Source organism: Homo sapiens, chromosome 15 (assembly GCF_000001405.40).
Source record: "Homo sapiens chromosome 15, GRCh38.p14 Primary Assembly".
NCBI lineage: Eukaryota > Metazoa > Chordata > Mammalia > Primates > Hominidae > Homo > Homo sapiens.
The window spans coordinates 65,754,038-65,777,449 of record NC_000015.10 but is presented as its reverse complement, the minus strand read 5'-3'; the positions used below and the strand labels follow the sequence as shown (position 1 = coordinate 65,777,449).

The following is a 23,412-nucleotide window of genomic DNA, read 5'->3' as shown; positions in this document are numbered from 1 at the left end:
ACCTGGGAGGTGGAGGTTGCAGTGAGCTGAGATCGTGGCACTGCACCCCAGCCTGGTCAACAGAGTAAGACTCTGTCTTAAAAAAAAAAAAATTGTTTGTAATTTAAAAAATGTAAGCTGGCTTACCCAAAAAGGGAAATTAGTTCCCATTAGGCAAAGATGCTGGAGTTTTCACAGTACCCGATGATAGAAGTACAGCCAAGACTCATGAAGGGGAAGGGAAACCAGGAACTGGAAATTTATAACCCAGGCAGCTATTTTCTTTTTTTCTTTCTTTATTTTGAGACAGCGTCTTACTCTGTCGCCCAGGCTGGAGTGCAGTGGTGCTATCTCAGCTCACTGCATCCTCCGCTTCCCGGGTTCAAGTGATTCTCCTGCCTCAGCCTCCTGAGTAGCTGGGATTACAGGCACATGCCACCATGGCTGGCTCATTTTTGTATTTTTAGTAGAGATGGGGTTTCACCGTGTTGTCCAGGCTGGCCTCGAACTCCTGGCCTCAAGTGATCCTCCTGCCTCGTCCTTCCAACTTGCTGGGATTACAGGCCACCGTGCCCAGCCCCATGCAGCTATTTTCTTACTACCCTGGGGTAGCATGATTTCTCTGAGTCTTCCTGCTTTTCCACTTCATTTTTCTTACTTTGCATGTTGTCTTTCACCACTGCACGTGGATGGACATGTCTTCTAACTCTTAAATTCATATATTCGCTCATGGTTCTGTGATTTCATTCTGAACCTCTGGGAGAAAATTGAGTCTGAGGCAGGTATCTCTTTCTGGTCTAATCAACTGTGGCCGATGAAGCCAAAGGTTCATAAAACATGGCTTTCAGGCCCAATTTTTATGGAAGGGGAATGATACAGGACATACAATTCTCAGAGGATAGGTGTGTAGGTAAATAGACTTTCTAAAAGGTGGTGGATACAAAGGGATACTTAATGATTAAAAAAATTATGATTTTTATGAAATAAAAAAGTTACTGCTCAGTGGCTTTATATATAGTAGGAAACTTAAATTATTTCATCCCCAATCTATACATGATTATTGTGAAGACTAAAAATGTCTCCCTTTTTTAAGTAAAAAACAATGGAGGTGATTAGCTTCTGCATACAGAATTGGAAGTTTGAGTCATTATTTTATGAGCATATGTGTATGATGATATATACCTTCTTTAATATTAATACCATTAATACATCACATCATTCTTTATTTAGCAAACATTTATTGACTGACTTCTCTCTGCCAGGGAGTATGCTAAAACAGATATTTACAGAAATGGGGGTGTAACATTGCTTACTCTTAGTGCATAATCTAGTTGAGAAGAATAGATGTTCAAAGAAATAATTGGAATATTAATGGGATAATCATAGTAGAGATATGTACAAGATACTCTAGAAGCATACAAAAAGAGAATGACGGTCTCATGGAGAAAACAGTAAGGAAGGCTTCGAAGAGCAGGTCTCCAATATTACATAGCAGTTGACCATTGGAATAGAGATATTCTGATAGGAGGAACTGAATTTGCAAAGGTGGCATGGAGTTGTGTAAAGGGGGAAACTGTAAATGGTTCAGTATGACTGAAGTGAATTTTTACCCCATTTAACTTAATGAAACTTAAACTAAAACTTTTTTTCATACCTGTCCTTCACATGGTAGTAATGATTGCCTTTTTCAAGAGGCAGTTGTACATTGTAGAATACTCAAATCACTTTTTGTTATATAATTTTGATGTCATTTTGGGAATTGGGAATGAGATGTCACTGATCATTTGCTTTCAGATTCCTTTATTGCTTTTTTTTTTTTTTTTTTTTTTTTTTGAGGAGTCTTGCACTGTCACCCAGGCTGGAGTGCAGTGGCATGATCTTGGCTCACTGCAACCTTCACCTCCCAGGTTCGAGTGATTCTCCTGTCTTAGCCTCCCAAGTAGCTGGGATTACAGGCATGCATCACCACACCCGGCTAATTTTTGTATTTTTAGTAGAGGCAGGGTTTCCCTATGTTGGCCAGGCTGGTCTTGAACTCCTAACCTCAGGTGATCTGCCTGCCTCAGCCTCCCAAAGTGCTGGGATTACAGACGTGAGCCACCGTGACTTCTTTTCTTTTCTTTTTGAGGCAGGGTGTGGCTCTGTCCCCCAGGCTGGAGTGCAGTGGTGTGATCATAGCTCACTATAGCCTTGACCTCCTGGGCTCAAGCAAACCTCCCACCTCAGCCTCCTGAGTAGCTGGGACCACAGGCATGAGCAATCATGCCCAGCTAATTAAAAAAATTTTTTTGTAGAGATGGGGTCTCAAATTTTTCTAATAGTGGTTGGTTTGTTAGTTTACTTTTATGGTAGTTTTTCCTGTATAAGCCTGGACCTTCATGCAGTGGATGACTGAAAATGGTAGAGCTTATAAAGCTTATGAAGTGCATATTTTTTATTAAAGTAAACATATGGGCTGTGTGTGGTGGCTACTTGGGAGGCTGAGGCAGGAGGATTGCTTGAGCCAAGGAGTTCGAAGTTAAGGTGAGCTATAATTGTGCCACTGCATTCCAGCCTGGGTAACAGAGTGAAACCTTGTCTCTCAAAAAAAAAAAAAAAAAAAGTAAACATTTGTAAAACTGTTAAGTATCCACAAAATTTTTTTTTAAAAAAAGCAAAAATAATACATTGTATAAGCCTATGTAATTTTAAAACATAATCTCTAAAATCAATGTCATTCTGAAATTTTATAATTTTAGAGAAAATAGCATATATATGTTATTTTATAAAACATCTTATTTTTATTTTTATTTTATTTTTTTGAGACAGGGTCTCACTTTGTTGCCCAGGCTGGAGTGCAGTGGCACGATCTCAGCTCACTCAGCAACCTCTGCCTCCCAGGTTCAAACGATTCTCCTGCCTCAGCCTCCCAAGTAGCTGGGATTACAGGTGCACACCACCATGCCTGGCTAACTTTTTTATTTTTTATTTTAATTTTTTTGAGATGGAGTTTCACTCTTGTTGCCCAGGCTGGAGTGCAGTGGCTCAATCTGGGCTCACCGCAACCTCCACCTCCTGGGTTCAAGCTATTCTCCTGCCTCAGCCTTCTGAGTAGCTGAGATTACAGGCATGCGCCACCACACCTGGCTAATTTTGTATTTTTAGTAGAGACTGGGTTTCTCCATGTTGGTCAGGCTGGTCTCAAACTCCCCACCTCAGGTGAGCCACCCTCCTTGGCCTCCCAAAGTGCTGGGATTACAGGCGTGAGCCACCGTGCCTGGCCAATTTTTTTATTTTTAGTAGAGACAGGGTTTCACCATGTTGGCCAAGCTGGTCTCGAACTCGTGACCTCAAGTGATCCACCAACCTCGGCCTCCAAAGTGCTGGGATTACAGGCATGAGCCACCACACCCAGCCAATAAAACATTTTATATCAGTATTTTTCTTCATAAAATTGTACCTACTGTTAAGCAAAACCAGTGTAGGCAGTTGGCAGAATGCCTTGTGCTTCACTACCCTGATGACAGTTGATTAACACCTTTACTTCTCTTTTCAATTCCTTTATCCACTCATTCATGATTCCTCCTCCACCCCATTAAAAATAATCAACCAACCAAAAACAAACAAACAAAAAAACCCCTAAAAAGCCCAGGTTGACTGTTCTGTGAAGTGACTGAGATGAGAAGGAGAGAAGGAAAGTAGTTTTGGCCAGATTTGTGGAGGCGGCAGCAGTGGTGTGTGTATGTTTGAAGCATGAGGTTTGTGATAAAAGCGACAAAAGTGACCAGTCTTCCTTTTGTCACTGTTATCTTTCAAATATGTTTCCCTCTAACTTTATTGAGGTATATTCAAATATACTTTTGATACTGTCCAGGAAGGAAATGATGAGTAAAGAAAAGGTGATATCCATTGTGCTTGTTCCTCCTTTCATGTGGAATCCCCTTCCATCTCTCCTCTATCACCTACTGATATTTCAGAATTTAGATGGTGTCGTTCTTTTTTGACTCCTCAAGCCTAAGCTGTGTGTCCTTCTTGTGCTTCCTGTGATTACTCCTGTTATAGACTTATCATGTATTATATTGCTTGTTTTCTTGTCTGCCTTCTCTATTAAACCGCTGTAAGGCAGGGTCATGTCTCATTTGTCTTTGTGTTTTAGTGCCTGGTTCTTCAGACCACATGGTAGAGGTACCATTTTAGGATTCTTGGTTGCAAATTACAGAAATTAATTCTGGTTAGCTGAACCAAAAGAAAAGGAATTTATTGGAAGCATATTGGTTGGCTTACAGAAATGACTAGAAGACTAGAGAACCAGACTCAGAGAACAAATATGAAACAAACCTCAGGGCTAGACCATAGCCAAAGTTATGCCATATCCTTTTCCTGTTGAACACACCGTTGATGCCACTGGATGCCATTGCTGGAGCATTGCCACTGGGTGCTGTATATCACTGCTCTAAGAATGATTTTTTTTTTTTTTTTTTTTTTTTTTGCTTAGAAACAATAGAAATTGATTTCCCATGGTTCTCAAGGTTGGAGGTCCGAGATCAGGGTGCCAGCAAGGTCAGGTTCTGGTGAGGGTCCACTTTTGGGTGGCAGACTGCTGACTTCGTGTATCCTCACATGGTGGAAACAGCCCTGAGAATGAATCTTAAACTGTTTTTGCTACTTTAGCTCTAGATTCAAATTCTGCATGAGTGCATATAATTGACCAATCTGTGTGCTTGGTCCCTAAATAGGGAGAGCAAATATCAGGTCTTTTTTTTTTTTTTTTTTTTTTTTTTTTTTGAGACGGAGTCTCATTTTGTTGCCCAGGCTGGAGTGCAGTGGCTCGATCTCGGCCCACTGCAACCTCCGCCTCCCAGGTTCAAGCGATTCTCCTGCCTCAGCCTCCTGAGTAGCTGGGATTACAGGCGGGTGCCACCATGCCCAGCTAATTTTTGTATTTTTAGTAGAGACAGGGTTTCACCATATTGGTCAGGCTGGTCTCAAACTCCTGACGTCATGGTCTGCCTGCCTTGGCCTCCCAAAGTGCTGGGATTACAGGTGTGAGCCACCGTGCCTGGCCAAATATCTGGTCTTTTTCTGCTTTCATGATTGGTTCGGACATCCAGCCTTTTTTATAAGATACATACAGTGGCAGATTTTCTAAACATAGAAAGGGAGTTCACATGCTACATGGTCAAAAATAAAACTGATACATGTCCATTTCAGTATTCAATAAATATTTGTCAGATGAGTGAATGAGAGAATCAGAGTCATGATTTCCTGTCTCTAGACCTTTAAGTCACCAAACATTGAAGTGATAATGGTGTTGCTAATGTAATTGAAAATAAAATCGAAGGAGCAAGCTATGGAGGGGAACAGGGATGAAGCTGAGAAATGTGTCGACATCGTCCAGGAGGCTCTGAATGCTGGCAACCGCGAGAAGGCCCAGCGTTTCCTGCAGAAGGCCGAGAAGCTCTACCCACTGCCCTTGGCCTGCGCATAAACAAATATAAAAATTACTATGAAGTACTTGGAGTTACGAAAGATAGTGGTGATGAAGATTTGAAAAAAGCTTATAGAAAGCTTGCTTTGAAGTTTCATCCAGACAAAAACCATGCACCTGGAGCAACAGATGCTTTTAAAAAGGTTGGGAATGCTTATGCTGTTTTAAGTAATCCAGAAAAGCGAAAACAGTATGACCTCACGGGCAATGAAGAACAAGCATGTAACCACCAAAACAATGGCAGATTTAATTTCCATAGAGGTTTTGTGAAGTTGATATAACTCCAGAAGACTTGTTTAATATATTTTTTGGGGGTGGATTTCCTTCAGGTAGTATACATTCTTTTTCAAATGGAAGAGCTGGTTATAGCCAACAACATCAGCATTGACATAGTGGACATGAAAGAGAAGAGGAAAGAGGAGATGGAGGTTTTTCTGTGTTTATCCAGCTGATGCCCATAATTGTATTGATCCTCGTGTCATTATTAAGCCAGTTGATGGTCTGTAATCCTCCTTATTCCTTCTATCCCAGATCTGGAACAGGGCAAACTATTAAAACGCAGACAGAAAACTTGGGTGGTGTTTATTATGTCAGCAAGGACTTTAAAAATGAATATAAAGGAATGTTATTACAAAAGGCAGAAAAGAGTGTGGAGGAAGATTATGTGACTAATATTCGAAATAACTGCTGGAAAGAAAGACAACAAAAAACAGATATGCAGTATGCAGCAAAAGTATACCGTGGTGATCGACTCCGAAGGAAGTCAGATGCCTTGAGCATGGACAACTGTAAAGAATTAGAGCGGCTTACCGGTCTTTATAAAGGAGGATGAACTGGAATTTTTATTTATACCTTTTAGCGTACTCTTTATTTTTTCTGTAAGTAAGTTTAGTTTCATCATGAGAGATGAAGGGAAAGATCTGATACTGAAAATTAAACTGAATAGTTGGTTCCTGAAATCTTGGACTGTTTATGACCTACTGGCTCCTTTAAATAGTAACTGAAAACTAAAATGGAATATTTTAGTTACGCTTCTACAATTATTTTCATTTTAAAAGCTTGCATGATTCCTAACTAAAATGTCTTGAGAAAGGATTATCACACCTGTAGCAATTTCCAGTTTTAGTGATTCTCCATTTTTTCCCTTGTCATGTAAAGATTTATGGAATGATCACTTTGTGTACATACAGGTTACTGCTTTTTTATTTAAATTCTTTTAGTGTTTTGCTCCGTGAGACACTTCAGTTTAAATTGATGGAATAAATGTTATATGACACATTTACGTTTTCCTTATCAAGGTGTCAAATATGTGGACTTTAAACAATGAAACTTTTTCAAAAAGAAAAAACAAAAACTTTAACTTTGTGTAAAATCTTATAGTATTATCAGCTTAGAGGGAATTGATATTTTTAATATTGCCGTTATATTCCAAAATATATATTGAGATAAATGAACTGATGTAGAATATCATTTTGCTATTTAGTTTTATGAATTACTATACATATACATGCATAGAAATGAAATGCTATACTGATAGATTTTAAAGAAAATATGAGGAAATGGCTATAAATAGTAAACTAAAAGGGTCTTCAACAGTAAAGTGCAGTTATGTCATTTACAATTCCAATACTTTAAAGGCCACCAAATTTTGATGTGTATGTCCTTGAAGGGCTGCCAAAATTTATGAAGAGGACTCACATTTTCCCCCATAGAAATTTGCAGTTTCTTGGTGATCATTTAAGCAGGATCCAAAGAAGTTCTTCTACAAATAAGTAATAAGAAAAATGAATACTAAAATACAGCTTTGTGCCTTTTAACCTTATGCCAACTCCTAAACATGTAAGTAGATTATAGTATACTTATCTGATCAGAGCATGATCTGTTTGGCCACATGCAAGTGTGAGCAGAAATAGAGCAGCAGGTAGAATAGTAACTTAAAGCAAGTCCTCCTTTAAAAATACTGAGCTAAAATCTATTCACCATTGAGTAATTGAATTAATCCTATAGGAATAAGCTCCTTGTAAGTAATTCCATATTATGAATTAGAAAAAAAAAACAGCTGGAAATTGAAGTTTTTGGTGCCTGTATACTGGAGATAAAACTATTTGATTTCTGGTCTTCTGTGTTTAGCAGTTGTAATATTTTAATGAATTTGCTGCATACTCGGTTAATGGAACATAAACATATCTTTGGTACTTCTTTGTGAGTGAAAGAATGCTGGATAGGGTGGCTTTGTTCTTTAAATTTTTTTCTGAATGTAGTTAATTTATGGCATCTGTTGAATAAAACTGCTAAAATGAAAAAAAAGAAAAGAAAATCAATACCAAACCATAAAATAAACAAAAGATAAGCAAACTCAGCATATTTCTGGTTTTTTAAAATGACGAGTACCTCATTAAGTGATTTACATCAAATTATTTGAATTGAATTTATACTTTTTTTGGTCCCTTATTTTAAAATACCCAAGCCATGAGCTTATTTGCGTATCTGATAATCTAATGCTGGATAGAACCAGGATTTTAATTTGGCTGAAGTGATTTCAGAGCATGTAGCTGCTAAACCTTACTACATTTTATAGTTTTCATATAGTTGTATTCAGCAATGAATTAAAACAGGAACAACAAATCAGTATTTTAGAGAGCTCAGAGGAATGTTTATGTTTGTGGAGGAAAAAAGGTTTTTATTTATTTCTAAGCCATCTTACTCACCAAATATAAGGTCTTACTATAAAACTTAGGAAAACAGTTTGGCATTACCTACCACAGTTGAGTGTGTGTGTGTGTGTGTGTGTGTGTGTGTGTGTGTATACCTTATATGCTAGGAATTTCATTCTTAGCTATTTTTAAAAAATCTATGCGTTTTTATATGCATGAAAACTCATAATAGTTTATATCCGACTTTGTAATCATTTATAACAGCCTCACATTGGAAACCAGCCAAATGTCAATTAACAATAGAATGGATACATAAAATTGTGGGGGTTTTTTTTTTTGTTTTTTGGTTTTTTTTGAGACAGAGTTTTGCTCTTGTCGCCCAGGCTAGAGTGCAGTGGTGTGATCTCAGCTCACTGCAACCTCTGCCTCCAGGGTTGAAGCAATTCTCCTGTCTCAGCCACCCGAGTACCTGGGATTACAGGCACCCGCCACCACGTCCGGCTATTTTTTTCTTTTTTTTGTATTTTTTAGTAGAGACGGGGTTTCACCATGTTGGCCAGGCTGGTCCTGAACTCCTAACCTCAGGTAATCTACCTGCCTCGGCCTCCCAAAGTGCTGGGATTACAGGCATGAGCCACCGCGCCTGGCAAAATTGTGTATTCTTAAAATGAAAAACTATACAGAAATGAAAATGAACAAACTGCTATATATGAGTATGGCCAAATCTCAAAAAACATTGTAGAATGAAAAAAGCTGGACCAAAATAATGTACACTTTATATGTCCTTCCATGTTCCATTTATGTAAAAGTTCAGAAATAGAAAAAAACTAATCTACTGTTAGCATTCAAGATAGTGGTTCTCTTTGGGAAGGTTGGAGGGGGCTTCCTGTTACTGTTAATGTACTATTTCTCGACCTGTGAGGTGTTTGTGATGGATGATGTGTTTATTTTGTGATAATTCCTGGAGTTGTACATTTTCTATATGTGTGTTATATTTTAAAAAGTAAAAGAACAAAACAAAACGAAAAAAACAGGCTAGGTGCAGTAGCTCATGCTTGTTATTCCAACACTTTGGGATGCCGGCACGGGCAGATCACTTGAGCCCAGGAGTTCAAGACCAGGAGTTCGAGACCAGCCTGGGCAACATGGCAAAACCGCATCTCTACCCAAAAAAAAGAAAAAGATAAATTAGCCAGACGTGGTGGTGTGCGCCTATAGTCCCAAGCTACTTAGGAGGCTGAGGTGGGAGGATCACTTGAGGTGAGCCATGATCGTGCCACTACACTCCACACTGATTTGAGGTTTGCTGAAACCAGTGGTTACATATTTCTCTCTGGAAGGAAGTGGGGTAAGAGCACCTGAGATACGGAGAACTGATTTCATCATATTTTTCATTTCATGGTATACTTTTGTGACTAACTTGTATGAAGCCCTGCTTTATTTTATTCTCCTTTATCTCTCGTCTTCATCCAATTCCCTTTCCCTCACAGTTGTCCATTTGAATATGTCTAATATATCATCCTGAATGTCTTTGAAAACTATCATGCTAACTTTAATATATATGTTTTAAGTTTATATAAATGCTATTTTGCTGTAGATTCCTTTCTGCTTCTTACTGATTTCATTCAACACTAAATTTAAATAATGTGTTTGTGTTTCTATGTTTACATCTGTTCTTTTACTTCTGACCATCCCATGGTACTCGATAATGGTATCAGTTGCATTTTAAAAATTATTCCTGGTTGGATTACAGGTGGTTCATGCCTGTAATCCCAGCATTTTATGGGAGGCAAGGTAGGAGAATTGCTTGGCCCAGGAGTTTGAGGCTGCAATGAGCTATAATTACACCACTGCACTCCAGCCTGGGTGACAGAATGAGTCTTTGTGCCAAATAAATAAATAATCATTCATTTAACAGATATTCACCATATACTATTTGCCAGGTACTGTTCTAGGTGCTGGTTATGCAGCAGTGAATAAAACAGAAAAATCTGTACCCTCATGGAACTTACAATCTTGTGGAAAGAGAGAGAATAAATAAGACATATGGTATGTTAGACAGGCAAGCTGGTTAATTTTTATGCCTCAGTTTGTTCAATTATACTAAAGGTACTTGAAACAATATCTCTAAGGACCTTCCTAGCTCTAAAATCCCATGATTCTGTGGTGTTTTAACTTTCTCATTTTTTTCTACTGTGCTGACCTCATCCATTGAGTAAATATTTACACACCTACCATGTGTTTATAACTGCTATGCATGTGAGAGAATCAAAAAGTAGAGCACAAAGTTTCTGCCTTTGAATTGTTTATAGTCGGTCTGGAAACAAGAGGTATCTGTATATTAACACTGTTATTTCCAGTGTGTTCTTATTCTGTCCAGAACAGATCCATATTCTCAAGGGAATAGCAGCTACTTCAGCTGCAACCTAATTTCTGGGTGAGGGACAGGGTTGCCCCTGAACACAGTATAATACTCCTTTTTTTTAATGTTCTTATATATGTAGGAATCCTCACTGTAGTTCTGTAGCATTATTTTATGTTGTCCACTTATTTTCGGTCTGGAACTTAGCCAGGATAGGAAAATTTATCTCAGAATTTAGTAGATTGGTTTTCATTGGGATTTAATGGATGATCACTCTCTGCCCTCCTTATCTTTTGTGTGCCTATATATGTCTGTGTGTAGTATCCCTCACTGTCTGCTGGGGACCAGTTCCAGGACCACCTGTGGATTCCAAAATCCACTCAAGCCCCACAGTTGCCTGTTGAGAACTTGTGGATACAAAAAGCTGGCCTATTTTTGCAGCTTTCGTGTCCCACAATACCATATTTTTGATCCAAGTTGGTTGCAGATGCAAAATTGCCCATACTGAGGGCTGACATATTTATTGCAAAAAAAAGAAAACCATGTGTAAGTGGAACTGCACAGTTCAAATCAGTGTTGTTCAAGAGTCAACTGTATTTATATGTTTGTTTAATTATGTTCAAGTATAATGTTCTGGATGCCTGAGTGAATGTGACCAACAAGGCATTCAACACGCCAAATAAGCTTATACTTTGTGCTTTGGTTTGTTTCTGCATCTATTTTTTTTTTTTTTTTTTGAGGTGGAGTCTCACTCCGTTGCCCAGGCTGGAGTGCGGTGGCCTGATCTCAGCTCACCACAACCTCTGCTTCCCAGGTTCAAGTGATTCTCCTGCCTCAGCCTCCTGAGTAGCTGGGACTACAGGCGTGCACCACCATATCCGGCTAATTTTTGTAATTTTTTAGTAGAGACAGGGTTTCACTATGTTGGCCAGGCTGGTCTTGAGCTCCTGACCTCGTGATCCACCTGCCTTGGCCTCCCAAAGTGTTGGGATTACAGGCGTGAGCCACCGCGCCCGGCTTCTGCATCTATTTTGTAAGAAAGTATTGTTTTTGGAAATATATCTCTGCATTTCATTGGCCGTATGTACTTTGTGATAAAAATATACCACTCCACAGGGATTAGGGATAATGGGGTGAATCAGGGAGGGCAGTGTGTGTGCTTATAAAAGGGCAACACTAGGGACCCTTGTGATGGAAGTGCGCTGCATCTTGTCTTTGGTAATGGATACATGGTTTTATGCACATGTGACAAAACTGTGCTTATACAGGGCAATACTAGGGATCCTTGTAATGGAACTGTACTGTATCTTGATTTTGGTGATGGATATGTTGTATTATGCACATGTGATAAAACTGCATAGAACTAAACACACACACAGATGAATACAAATAAAACTGGGGAAATCAGGATGAGACAGGTGAATTGTATCAATGTCAGTAATACAGCTGTGCTATAGTTTTGCAAGATGTTACCATTTGAAGAAAACGGGGTGAAAGGTATACCAGCTCTCTATTATTTCTTTCAACTGAATATGAATCTACAATTATCTCAAACTAAAAGTTTCAATTAAAAATAACAATTTAAAGAAGTCTGTGTTAAAAGATAATGGCTTAGCACATGTAGCTGCAGGAAGCACATTCATATATCACTTTGTGGAGCATGACTTTCATTTACAATCAAAGGATGCTCTGCTAAATAGATTTTATAAATTTTCTATTCCGGGTTTTCTTGTGCATGTATAGAAAGTAAGGCAATAGCTGTGATGTGTTATCTTCATTAGCAGAAGAAGAACTTTGCAAACACTTAAGTGATGCCAGTTTTGTGTCAGCCTCATCTTCTGTGTCAAATAGAAAATCAGTTAATTCTAATAATAGTTCTTTTTTTCGTACAATTCATGGAATAAAATTAAAGTTTTTGGAAGTTCATTCATCAGAATGGAAATATTTGATATTATTGTGAATGCTAATGTGAATTCAACATCAAAGAAAATGTTACTTTTTTTTTTTTTTTTTTTGGAGACAGGGTCTCGCTCTGTCACCCAGGCTGGAGTGCAGTGGTGCCATCATAGCTCACTGCAGCCTCAACCTCCTGGGCTCAAGCAATCCTCCGACCTTAGCCTTCCAAGTAGCTGGGACTATAGTGCACACTACCACACCCAGCAAATTTTTAAATTTTTTGTACAGATGGGGTCTCACTATGTTGCCCAGGCTAGTCTCAAACTCCTGACTCAAGTGATCCTTCTGCCTCGGTCTCCCAGAGTGCTGGGATTACAGGCATGAGCCACTGTGCCTGGCCACTTGTTATTTTTTTTTAATTTCTTTTAAAAATTAAATTTAATTAATTATTGGGTTTTTTTGAGACAGAGTCTTGCTGTATTGCCCAGGTTGGAGTGCAGTGGCACGATCTCTGCTCACTGCAACCTCCGCCTCCAGGGTTCAAGCAATTCTCATGTCTCAGCCTCCCGAGTAGCTGGAATTACAGGCACATGCCTCCACGCCCAGCTAATTTTTGTATTTTTAGTAGAGATGGGGTTTCGCCCTGTTGGCTAGGCTGGTCTCAAACCCCTGATCTCAAGTGATCCTCCCACCTCTGCCTCCCAGAGTGCTGGGGTTATAGGCGTGAGCTACCATGCCCAGCCAATTTTATTTTTTTGTCCAGATGAGGTCTTGCTGTGTTGCCCAGGCTGGTCTTGAACTCCTGGCCTCAAGTGATTTTTCTGCCTTGACCTCCCAAAGTGTTAGGATTATAGATATGACCCATCACACCTGGCCTGTTTTTAGAATAATGATACAAATATTAAGTTTAATGGGGCAGAGTTATGGTCAAAACAGTGTTCTTACTATATTAAGAAACAATGTAGCAGAAAATGTATTTGAAATTGGTTGTAGCACATCCATAATTCATAATTACATCTAAATAAGTCTGATATTCTACCAATAAAATAAATAATTTTCAAAATTTACAAGTATTTCTATATACATACAGTATTTTTACTAGAAATTTTTGTGACAACTGATGTTGAATTTTAAAAAATGTTTCAGCAAGTCAGTATTTACATTGTTTCATTGCCAATTGTCAGCAATAACATTTTAGAGATATTTGAAAAGTACATTTACCACTGCATATTTACTCCCTGAAATTTTTTCAGGGAACTTTTGGCATCCTCATTTTAAAAATACATATATCTATCCTGACAATATTTAGCAGTTCAAAAGGTAATAAGATTATGAATATATTATTTTGCTTTCATTCTTTTCACCCTCTATTTCAAGACACTATCGAATTTTTTTTTTTTTTTTTTTTTTTTGAGACAAGGTCTTGCTTGGTCACTCAGGCTGGCTGGAGTGCAGTGGTGTGAACAAGGCTCACTGCAGCCTCGACCTCCTGGGCTCAAGCAATCCTCCCATCTCAGCCCCACCAAGGAGCTAGGACTACAGGACTGCACCACCAACACCTGGCTACTTTGGTATTTTTTGTAGAGACAGGATTTTGCCATGTCTCAAACTCCTGAGCTCAAGTGATCCACACGCCTCAACCTCCCAAAGTGCTGGGATTATAGACATGAGCCACTGTACCTGGTGTTTATTAAATTCTTGACTCAGTTTATGCCCTTACCCCCTTCTCTTCCACTTCTCACAGACACACACATGTCAAGGACCTAACCAAGTTAGATGAATCTTGTGTCTGGGTGTAGCTGCTCCTGTTTCCTGGTTGTTAGTAGATATTCCATGTTGGTTAAAGCTGTGGTTTCTTCCTCTTGAGGTGCTTATGATTTCTGTGCTTGTTTCCCCGCAGAAGCTATTGACTCTTACTGAACTTCATTTTGTGTGTGCATGTGTCCAGTGTTAAAGCTAACCTATAGTGCTTGGTACAATACAGTTGGTCTGGCTCTACTCTTAAGACTTTGTCGGTGGCATCATCTTTCCATCTAGTGTTTAAAATGACTCATAATTACAAGTTACTAAATTACTTAATTTAAAAAAATAAGATACTGGCATATTGAATTCTGTAATATGACATTGCTTATTCTCTTGTTCAGAAGAATTTGGTTCCTTGGTGAGATTTGATATAAATGATTCTATGTAAGTACATTTGCCCCTTGGTATCCTCCATGGATTAGTTCCAGGATACCCCCAACCTCCACCCGATGGATACCAAAATCCACATATACTTAAGCCCCTTACGTAAAATGGTGTGGTATTTGCACATAATCTACACACATCCTCCTGTATACTTTAAATCACCTCTAGATTATCTATAATACCTAATTCAATTAAATGCTATATAAAGTTATACCGAATTATTTTGTTAAATTTGTATTACATTTTTTGTTGTATCATTCATTCATTCATTCATTGGAGATAGAGCTTTACTCTGTTACCCAGGCTGGAGCACAGTGGTGTGATCAGGGCTCACTGCAGCCTCAGCTTCCTGGGCTCAAGTGATTCTCGTGCCTCAGTCTCCTGAGTAGCTGAGACTACAGGCACGTGCCACCCTGCCTGGCACTAACTTTCTTCTTTTTTTTTTAGAGATGGGGGCCTCACTATATTGCCCAGGCTGGCTTTGAACTCTTGGGCTTAAGCAATCCTCCTGCCTTGGCCTCTCAAAGTGCTGGGATTACAGACGTGAGCCACTGAGCCCAGTCTGTTATTTTTATTGTTTTTGAAAAACATCTTTTCAGGCCATGTGCGGTGGCTCACGCCTGTAATCCCAGCACTTTGGGAGGCCGAGGCAGGCAGCTCACCTGAGGTTGGGAGTTCGAGACCAGGCTGACCAATATGGAGAAACCTGGTCTCTACTGAAAATACAAAATTAGCTGGGCATGGTGGCACATGCCTGTAATCCCGGCTACTCGGGAGGCTGAGGCAGGAGAATCTCTTGAACCCAGGAGGTGGAGGTTGCGGTGAGCCGAGATCGAGCCACTGCACTCCAGCCTGGGCAACAAGAGCGAAACTCTTGTCTCAAAAACAACAACAATAACAACAACAAAAAACATCTTTTCAATCCATGGTATGGATGTGGAACTCATGGATACAGAAGGCTGACTGTAGTATCTTTGAAATTTGTAATAAAGGGAAAGTACTTTTGGGTATTGACTTCTTTGAAACTTTTTTTTATATGGAAGTTACTTGAGTCTATATTTGAATTATGTTAAATGTATACATTTTTCCCCTGTGAATGAGGCTCTGTACAGTGCCCCAGAAATAGTCATGTTGTTCTTTCTCACACTCTTTGCCCTGTACACATTTCCTCTTTTGTACCCTTATTTATTCTTCTTGCTTTCTTTTTTTCCCCCTTATCTGCTAGTTTTTTCTTTTTTTTTCTCATTGCCTCTCTTCAGCATGTTTTGTTTTTAAAGTATGTATTTATTCTTTACTGAAATCTTGTTTTTAAAAATTGCTTATTGGCTCTTAACCACAAGAAAACAATAAATGCAATCAGTTTAGTAATTATCACTGTTAACAGAACTTTAAGTATCCACAGGCATATTGGGGGAAATATTTGATTGGAATGAATTTAAGTCCAATTCTTACTGTTTTCAATACAGTTATTTCTCAAACTCTGAGGCTGCGGAGTTCACACATTGAAATCTGTCATCTTTTTCAGAGAGAAACTTTCGGTAATGTGTAAGTAGTTTTTGGCTTTCATTTTGATTTGTTTCAGTTAGCTATTTCCTGTGTTAAACACAGTGAAACCTTAGTTTTCCAGAAGTCTTAATAATTTGGAATATATTCTCCATGTAATAATTATGGGTAACAAATGATACAAAATAATTCATTGAAAGATGTCTCAGGATGTGCCTTGGATCACAATTAATTCAACACCATTTATTAGAGACAAAATCTTCAATGTGAAGTATACGGTTCCCTTTTAGTAGTTATTTCCTGCGTTCTATTGTGAATGAGTTCAAATTATTAAATTTTGTGAAAAATACCCAAAAGAACTAATGAAAAGGAATTTTATGAATAAATTTATCTCAAATATTTACTTATAATAGCTAGTTATTTCCAAGGATAAGGTGGTAGTTCTCAAAAAAACTTATTAAATATATGTTTTCATGATAGTACTATATCTCTTCTGTTTCCGCTTTTTTTTTGAGACAGAGCCTCCCTCTGTTGCCCAGGCTGGAGTGCAGTGGCGTTGATCTTGGCCCATTGCAACCTCTGCCTACAGCGTTCAGGTGATTCTTGTTCCTCAGCCTCTCAAGTAGCTGGGATCATAGGCATGCACCATCATGCCTGGCTAATTTTTGTATTTTTGGTAGAAACGAGGTTTCACCATGTTGGCCAGGCTGGTCTTGAACTCCTGACCTCAAGTGATCTGCCCATCTCGGCCTCCAAAAGTGCTGGGATTATAGGCATGAGCCACTCTGCCCGGCCTCTTACCCTTCTTTCTACGTAGCAAGACATAAAACTATTTTATGCAATAGTGACTATCTGCTTTAGTTTGCCTGCTTTAGTTTGTTTATTTATTTATTTATTTATTATTTTGTGACAGAGTCTCACTCTTGCCCAGGCTGGAGTGCAGTGGCATGATCTCAGCTCACTGCAACCTCCGCCTCCCAGGTTCAAGCAATTCCCCTGCCTCAGCCTCCTGAGTAGCTGGGATTACAGGCGTGCGCCACCATGCCCCGCTAATTTTTTGTATTTTAAGTAGAGACGGGGTTTCACCGTGTTAGCCAGCCTGGTCTCGAACTCCTAACCTCAAGTGATCTGCCCGCCTTGGCCTTCCAAAGTGCTGGGATTACAGGCATGAGCCACCACGCCTGGCCATGCTTTAGTTTAAATAACATAAAGTTAGCATCTAGGAAAAAGGAGGATGTTTTAGTTTCTTCATTATGATGGAATGAAAATACTTTACCAGAGTAATTTTTAAGGTTATGTGTATTTAGAGCTTATAATATAAAATTCATGTACACACGAAAGCACATAAATAAAGGCTGATATAACCTTTGACCTAATAATTCTATTTCAACAAATGTATCCTGAAGAAATACTAGAGTTGTGTCCAGAGGTTTATCAAGATTATTCATTGTACCCTTTAAAAAAAATTAGCAAAATAAGTAGAAGTAATAAATGATCTACAGTAAGCACATAGGTCAAAAATGGTATATCCATAAAATAAAATACTATGCAGCCCTTTAAAAATTGTTTTCAAAGACTAATGAACTGGAGAAAAAAAGTTAAACACAAAAGTCCTTTTGTTATTCTGCAACTTTCTTAAATAAATAGATGGTCAATTGGGTAAAACTGCTCTTTTTTTGGAGCACTTGTTATATGCAACGAGCTGAGGGTGATAAGTCAGCATTTAACAGTCTTCTCAGAACAGATTGTTAGCACTTTCTTTTTAAGTGTCCATCTAGGAGGCATTTCTGAAAAGGTTAAGCCCTTTATTATATGTAGAAATCCTATATGTAAGGAAATTGCTGCATAGGCGCCATTAGTATGTAAATAAAACAAGTAGAAACATTTAATCTTCTTTAGTCCCATTTTTTTTCCTTTTTTTTTCCAGATGGAGTCTCGCTCGGTCGCCCAGGCTGGAGTGCAGTGGCGCGATCTTGTCTCACTGCAACCTCCGCCTCCTGGGTTCAAGCAATTCTCCTGCCTCAGCCTCCCGAGTAGCTGGGACTACAGGCACATGCCACCACACCTGACTAATTTTTGTTATTTTTAGTAGAAATGGGGTTTCACCATATTGGCCAGGCTGGTCTTGAACTCCTGACCTTGTGATCCACCCGCCTCGGCCTCCCAAAGTGCTGGGATTACAGGCGTGAGCCACCTTGCCTGGCCTAGTCTCATTTTTAAAGAAAATAGTGGGAATACTTAGAGTATATTTGAGTGATGAATACAGATTCCAAGAAATGTGTCATGAATTCTGAAAACTGATGACATTAGCAATATAGAAAATTAAATGAGTTTTGGGATTTTGATGAAAATGTTAATAATTATATTGTAAACAAGTATATACTACGTAAGAATGTCTTTGCCCTGAGATTTTATGGTCTACAAGGGAAGATTGTTTACTGTAAACTAGCATTTTCTTAGGGTTGTTTCTAGTTGTTAAGTGGGAAAATGTGGTTCATTTTTCAAATAGGCTTGGGAAATCCTGAGTTAAGCAAAGTTTATCGGCTGCCTTTATCAAAAGACTGCTGAGGATTTAGTATTTTTATATATATAGTAAGTATCCAAAGAGACCTATAGTGTGTATACCTAATTTATTTGTCCATGGAATCTTTTCTTTGCACTTATTGGAACTGTGTCTAACATGAAACAAACTCTGGGAAATTGTTTTAGATTAAACTTTTTTCCTATAATAGTGGTATATAAATAATGATGGTACTGTGGAATGTATTCTCCTAGTTAAAGAAACAAATAGGTTGGGTATGGTGGCTCACACCTGTAATCCCAACACTTTGGGAGGCTGAGGCGGGAGAATCTCTTGAGCCCAGGAATTTGAGACCAGCCTGGGCAACAAAATGAGACTCTATCTCTACAACAAAAACAAACCAGCCAGGCGTGGTGGTGCACACCTGTGGTCCCAGCTGCATGGGAGGCTGAGGCAGGAGGATTGCTTGAGCCCAGGTGGTCAAGGCTGCAGTGAGCCATGTTTGCACTACTCCATTTCAGCCTGGGCGACAGAGCGAGACCCTGTCTCAAAAATAAATAAATACATAAATAAAATTAAGTGATACCGGACAACCAAAGGAGACTGCAAATATGTGATAGATTCTATTTTGTGTATTTTTTCTTTGAATCTGTTGTAAGCATGCATTACTGTTACACTCTCTTACCTACTTTTATTATTTGAAATTCTTCTGTTTGATATATCTGCTGAGACTTAACTTCTGGTAGACTTTTGTGTATGCATTTTTGTAGTTTTGGAACAGGAACTTGTCTTCCACTGGGCTTTGTCTGTGGAAAACCTGGGTTGAGGCTGTACCCTCAAGAACTGTTTTACTTTTCAAGGGGAATCACTAGCTTGGGAACACTTTTTTTTTTCTTTTTGAGATAGAGTTTCGCTCTTGTTGCCCAGGCTGGAGTGCAATGGTGCGATCTCAGCTCACCACAACCTCTTCCTCCTGGGTTCAAGCGATTCTCCTGCCTCAGCCTCCCAAGTAGCGGAATTACAGGCATGTGTCACCACGCCTGGCTAATTTTGTATTTTTAGTAGAGATGGGTTCTCTCCATGTTGGTCAGGCTAGTCTTGAACTCCCGACCTCAGGTAATCTGCCCTCCTCGGCCTCCCAAAATGCTGGGATTACAGGCGTGAGCCACCGCGCTCGGCCAACCTGAGAGCGCTTTTATTATTAATTTCTTAGTTTGTAGTTTCCTGGGACCATCCATATGGTTTAAGTACAAACCCCAAACCCAAGTGTGAATAGGCCTATTGTTAGGAATTCTCAGAGGAGACTCCCCCGCTACCCTCCCTACAACTTTATTATCTCCCTGTGTCAGTGGATAGGTCTTTTAAAACCACTCTTTGGCTGGGAGTATAGTCCTTTGAAACTCTCAGCTTTATATAGGTGGCTCAGTTCCAATTCTCTATCTATGTGGTCTGAAGTGCTTATCTCCCATGCTTTTAATGCCTTCTAAAACACAAGCCGGATCAGGTGCAGTGGCTTATGCCTGTAATCCCAGCACTTTGGTAGACTGAGATGGGAGGATCACTTGACCCCAGGAGTTCAAGACCAGCCTGGGCAACATAGTGAGACCCCCCCCCCCCCATCTCAGAAGAATAAAACAAAATAAACACACAAGCCTCTTGATTATTGAGGAGATCAGTAAATTTCCCCACTCAGTGGTAGTTTACAGACTGCATTCTGACTTTTGGTTTCTTCAGTGTTTTGGGGACCTAGGAATTTCCCTTACATTCTTACAAGTCTGTGTAAGATTTATATTTAAAAGCGTTTACTGAACGACTGTGCATTTATTTATTTATTTATTTATTTGAGATGGAGTTTCACTCTTTTTACCCAGGCTGGAGTGCAGTGGTCCGATCTCGGCTCACTGCAACCTCAGCTTCCCGGATTCAGGAGATTCTCCTGCCTCAGCCTCCTGAGTAGCTGGGATTACAGGCACCTGCCACCACGCCCAGCTAATTTTTGGTATTTTTAGTAGAGACAAGGTTTCACCATGTTGGCCAGGCTGGTCTCAAACTCCTGACCTCAGGTGATCCACCTGCCTTGGCCTCCCAAAGTGCTGGGATTACAGGCGTGAGCCACTGCACCTGGCCAGACTGTGCATTTAAAAAGATCTCTTTTTGTTGTCTACTTAGGTAATGTAGGTTTCACTATTGCCAAAATTGGGAATTCATCCATTACTTTTATAATAAAAGATTGCTAAAGATGTTTTTATTGTTAAATTCTTTTTACATGTAAGTTAAATATACAATGCTACTGTGTTTATCAAGGAACTAGTGCTCTTTTTGTAGTTTTTTGTTCTTATTTGCACACAAACCACTTGTATTTATTTTGCTTATTATAGGGGAGTACTAGTCTTTTACTTTCCTTTTAGATGTAACCTTCTGTAATGGAAGATGATTGAAGACAAGGGGCCTCGTGTTGCTGACTACTTTGTTGTAGCAGGATTAACTGATGTTTCAAAGCCTCTAGAAGAAGAAATTCACTTCAATGATGCTTGTCATAAAGTAGCTAAACCAAAAGAACCTATTACAGATGTTTCAGTTATTATCAAATCTCTTGGGGAGGAAGTCCCACAGGATTATATCTGTATTGATGTTACCCCAACTGGATTGTCAGCTGATCTTAATAATGGAAGTCTTGTGGGGCCACAGATTTACCTTTGCTATAGAAGAGGAAGAGATAAGCCTCCACTTACAGATCTGGGGTAAGTATTTTTTTAAACGACTTACTGTTATTGATCCAAATAATATGCCTTGTAGATTTGGAGATTAACTGTTCATTCTGGTCATTAATAGATGTATGGCAGATTTAGAAAAATACACAAGTTTGTATTCAGAAACCTGTATTCTCTCCCTGTTTCCTTTTGTCTCTCTTTATCCTGAAGTTCCCAGCAGTCTTACCTTGCCTGGGTTTCTTTCAGTTAGAGGCAGGGGAGAGAATTTGAAAAACATTTGCAGGAAAGTACTAGAAAATTAAAGTGTTATCCTGATTGGAAAATTTTTGATTATTTTTAAAGTACGAAAAAAGGCTTTTAAGCATGTTATAATGATCAGTATAGATGGATTTTTTTCTTTTTAAAGGGACAGGGTTAATCTCTATCACCCAGCTGGAGTGCAATGGCATGATCATAGCTCACTACAGCCTCAAACTCCTGGCCTCAAGTAATCCTCCTGCCCCAGCCTCTTGAGTAGCTGGGACTATAGATACACGCTGTCACATCTGGCTAGTTTTTAATTTTTTTGTAGAGACAGGGTCTTGCTATGTTGCCCAGGCTAGTCTCAAACTCCTGGCCTCAAGTGATTTTCCTGCCTTGGCCTCCCAAAGTACTGGGATTACAGATGTGAGCCACCACACCCAGCCCCATTATAGATGGATTGTTAACTGTGTGTATCAAAGAAGGATATTGGGGTAAATTAGAGCTTTACTTAGGGTGCTTTATTATTGAGATACAATTCGTATACCATACAGCCACTCATTTATTTAAAGTGTACAATTCAATAGTTTTTAGTATTTTCAGAGTTTTGCAACCATCACCACAATAAATTCTATGACATTTTTATCATGCCAAAAAGAAACCCTGTACTCCTTAGTTGCTACCCAATTTCCTAACTCACTTAGCCTTTGGCTACTTTCTGTCTTTATGGATTTGCCTATTTTGCACATTTCATATAAATAGAATCATACTATGTATATGATCTTTTTTGACTGACTTCTTAGCATAATGTTTTCAAGGTTCATCCATGTTATAGTATGTGTCGGTACTTTATTCCATTTTATGACTGAATAATATTCCATCATATGGGTATACCACAGTTTATTCATCTGTTGATGGATGTTTGAGACTTTTCCACTTCTTGGCTATTATAAATAATATTGCCATGAATATTCATGTGCAAGTTTTTATGTGGACATGTATTTTCATTTTTTATTTGTATATACCTAGGAGTGACATTGCTGGATCGTAATGGTAATTCCATGTTCAATCTTTTAAGGAACTGCCAGACTGCTAAGCAAACTGTACCATATTGCATTCCCACTTGCGGTACATGAGGGTTCCAATTTCTCCATGTCCTAGTCAGCATTTCATATTATTTTGATTATTGCTGTCCCAGCAGGTGTGAGATGGTATCTCATATGGTCTTGATTTGCATTCACTTGATGGCTAATGATGTTGAGCATCTTTTTATGTGCTTACTGACAAGTTTGTATATCTTCGGAGAAATGTCTATTCAGATCCTTTCCCCATTTTTAATTTGGTTGTCTTTTTGTTTGTTGAGCTATAAGAGTTCTTAATATATTCTAGATAAAGCCGCTTATCAGTTAAATGATTTACAAATATTTTCTGTAGGTTCTTTTTACTTTTCTTTATGGAATCCTTTGAAGCCAAAATGTTTAGATTTTATAGCTGACTATAAGGCTCAGAGAGGTTAAGTAACTGCTTACAGAACTGCAGCTAGTAACAGGTGGTGGGAATTTGAATTTAGATTGTCTAACTTCTCTGTGTGTAGGTGCCTTTTTTAAGTTAAGAAAAAGCAAAACAAGATCAAAAGAAGGAAGAATAAGCACTTAAGCTAACATTAGGATTCATGCAGTTGCTATGATTAAGCATCAAATTTAACTGTAAATTTTCAAAATATTGAGAAGATTTTTTTTTAATTTGTTGATGGCCAGAAGAAAAAGTGAAATTAAAACTTATATTAGAAATAATTTGGCCAGGCACAGTGGCTCATGCCTGTAATCCCGGCACTTTGGAAGGCCTAGGTGGGTAGATCAACTGAGGTCAGGCGTTCGAGATCAGCTTGACCA

The 23,412-nt window shown here is 38.9% G+C and overlaps 1 protein-coding gene and 1 pseudogene across 27 annotated transcripts in view, besides 2 other annotated features; both read left to right on the top strand.

Annotated features, from left to right (window-relative positions):
• The window catches only part of DENND4A (DENN domain containing 4A), a 133,171-nt gene that overhangs the window by 14,844 nt on the left and 94,915 nt on the right, over positions 1–23,412 (top strand). For 13 of the 27 annotated variants that reach the window (NM_001376919.1, XM_047432098.1, NM_001144823.2 and 10 more), the window contains exons 2-3: positions 16,012–16,090; positions 20,978–21,310. In NM_001376919.1, coding sequence (NP_001363848.1) covers positions 21,000–21,310 — 311 coding nt within the window. In that variant the 5' untranslated portion in view covers positions 16,012–16,090; positions 20,978–20,999. Of the gene's footprint in view, positions 1–16,011; positions 16,091–18,557; positions 18,641–20,977; positions 21,311–23,412 lie in introns of all 27 variants that reach the window. The other 14 variants (XM_047432103.1, XM_047432101.1, XM_047432096.1 and 11 more) reach the window with 3 other exon arrangements.
• Positions 95–144: an enhancer, noted in NCBI's record as "active region_9604". NCBI's record gives its function as "activates an Ori minimal core promoter by ATAC-STARR-seq in GM12878 lymphoblastoid cells {active_cell/tissue: GM12878}" and the evidence as "EXISTENCE:reporter gene assay evidence [ECO:0000049][PMID:35858748]".
• Positions 3,311–3,460: an enhancer, noted in NCBI's record as "active region_9603". NCBI's record gives its function as "activates an Ori minimal core promoter by ATAC-STARR-seq in GM12878 lymphoblastoid cells {active_cell/tissue: GM12878}" and the evidence as "EXISTENCE:reporter gene assay evidence [ECO:0000049][PMID:35858748]".
• On the top strand, positions 5,296–7,200 carry LOC646358 (DnaJ heat shock protein family (Hsp40) member B14 pseudogene; annotated as a pseudogene).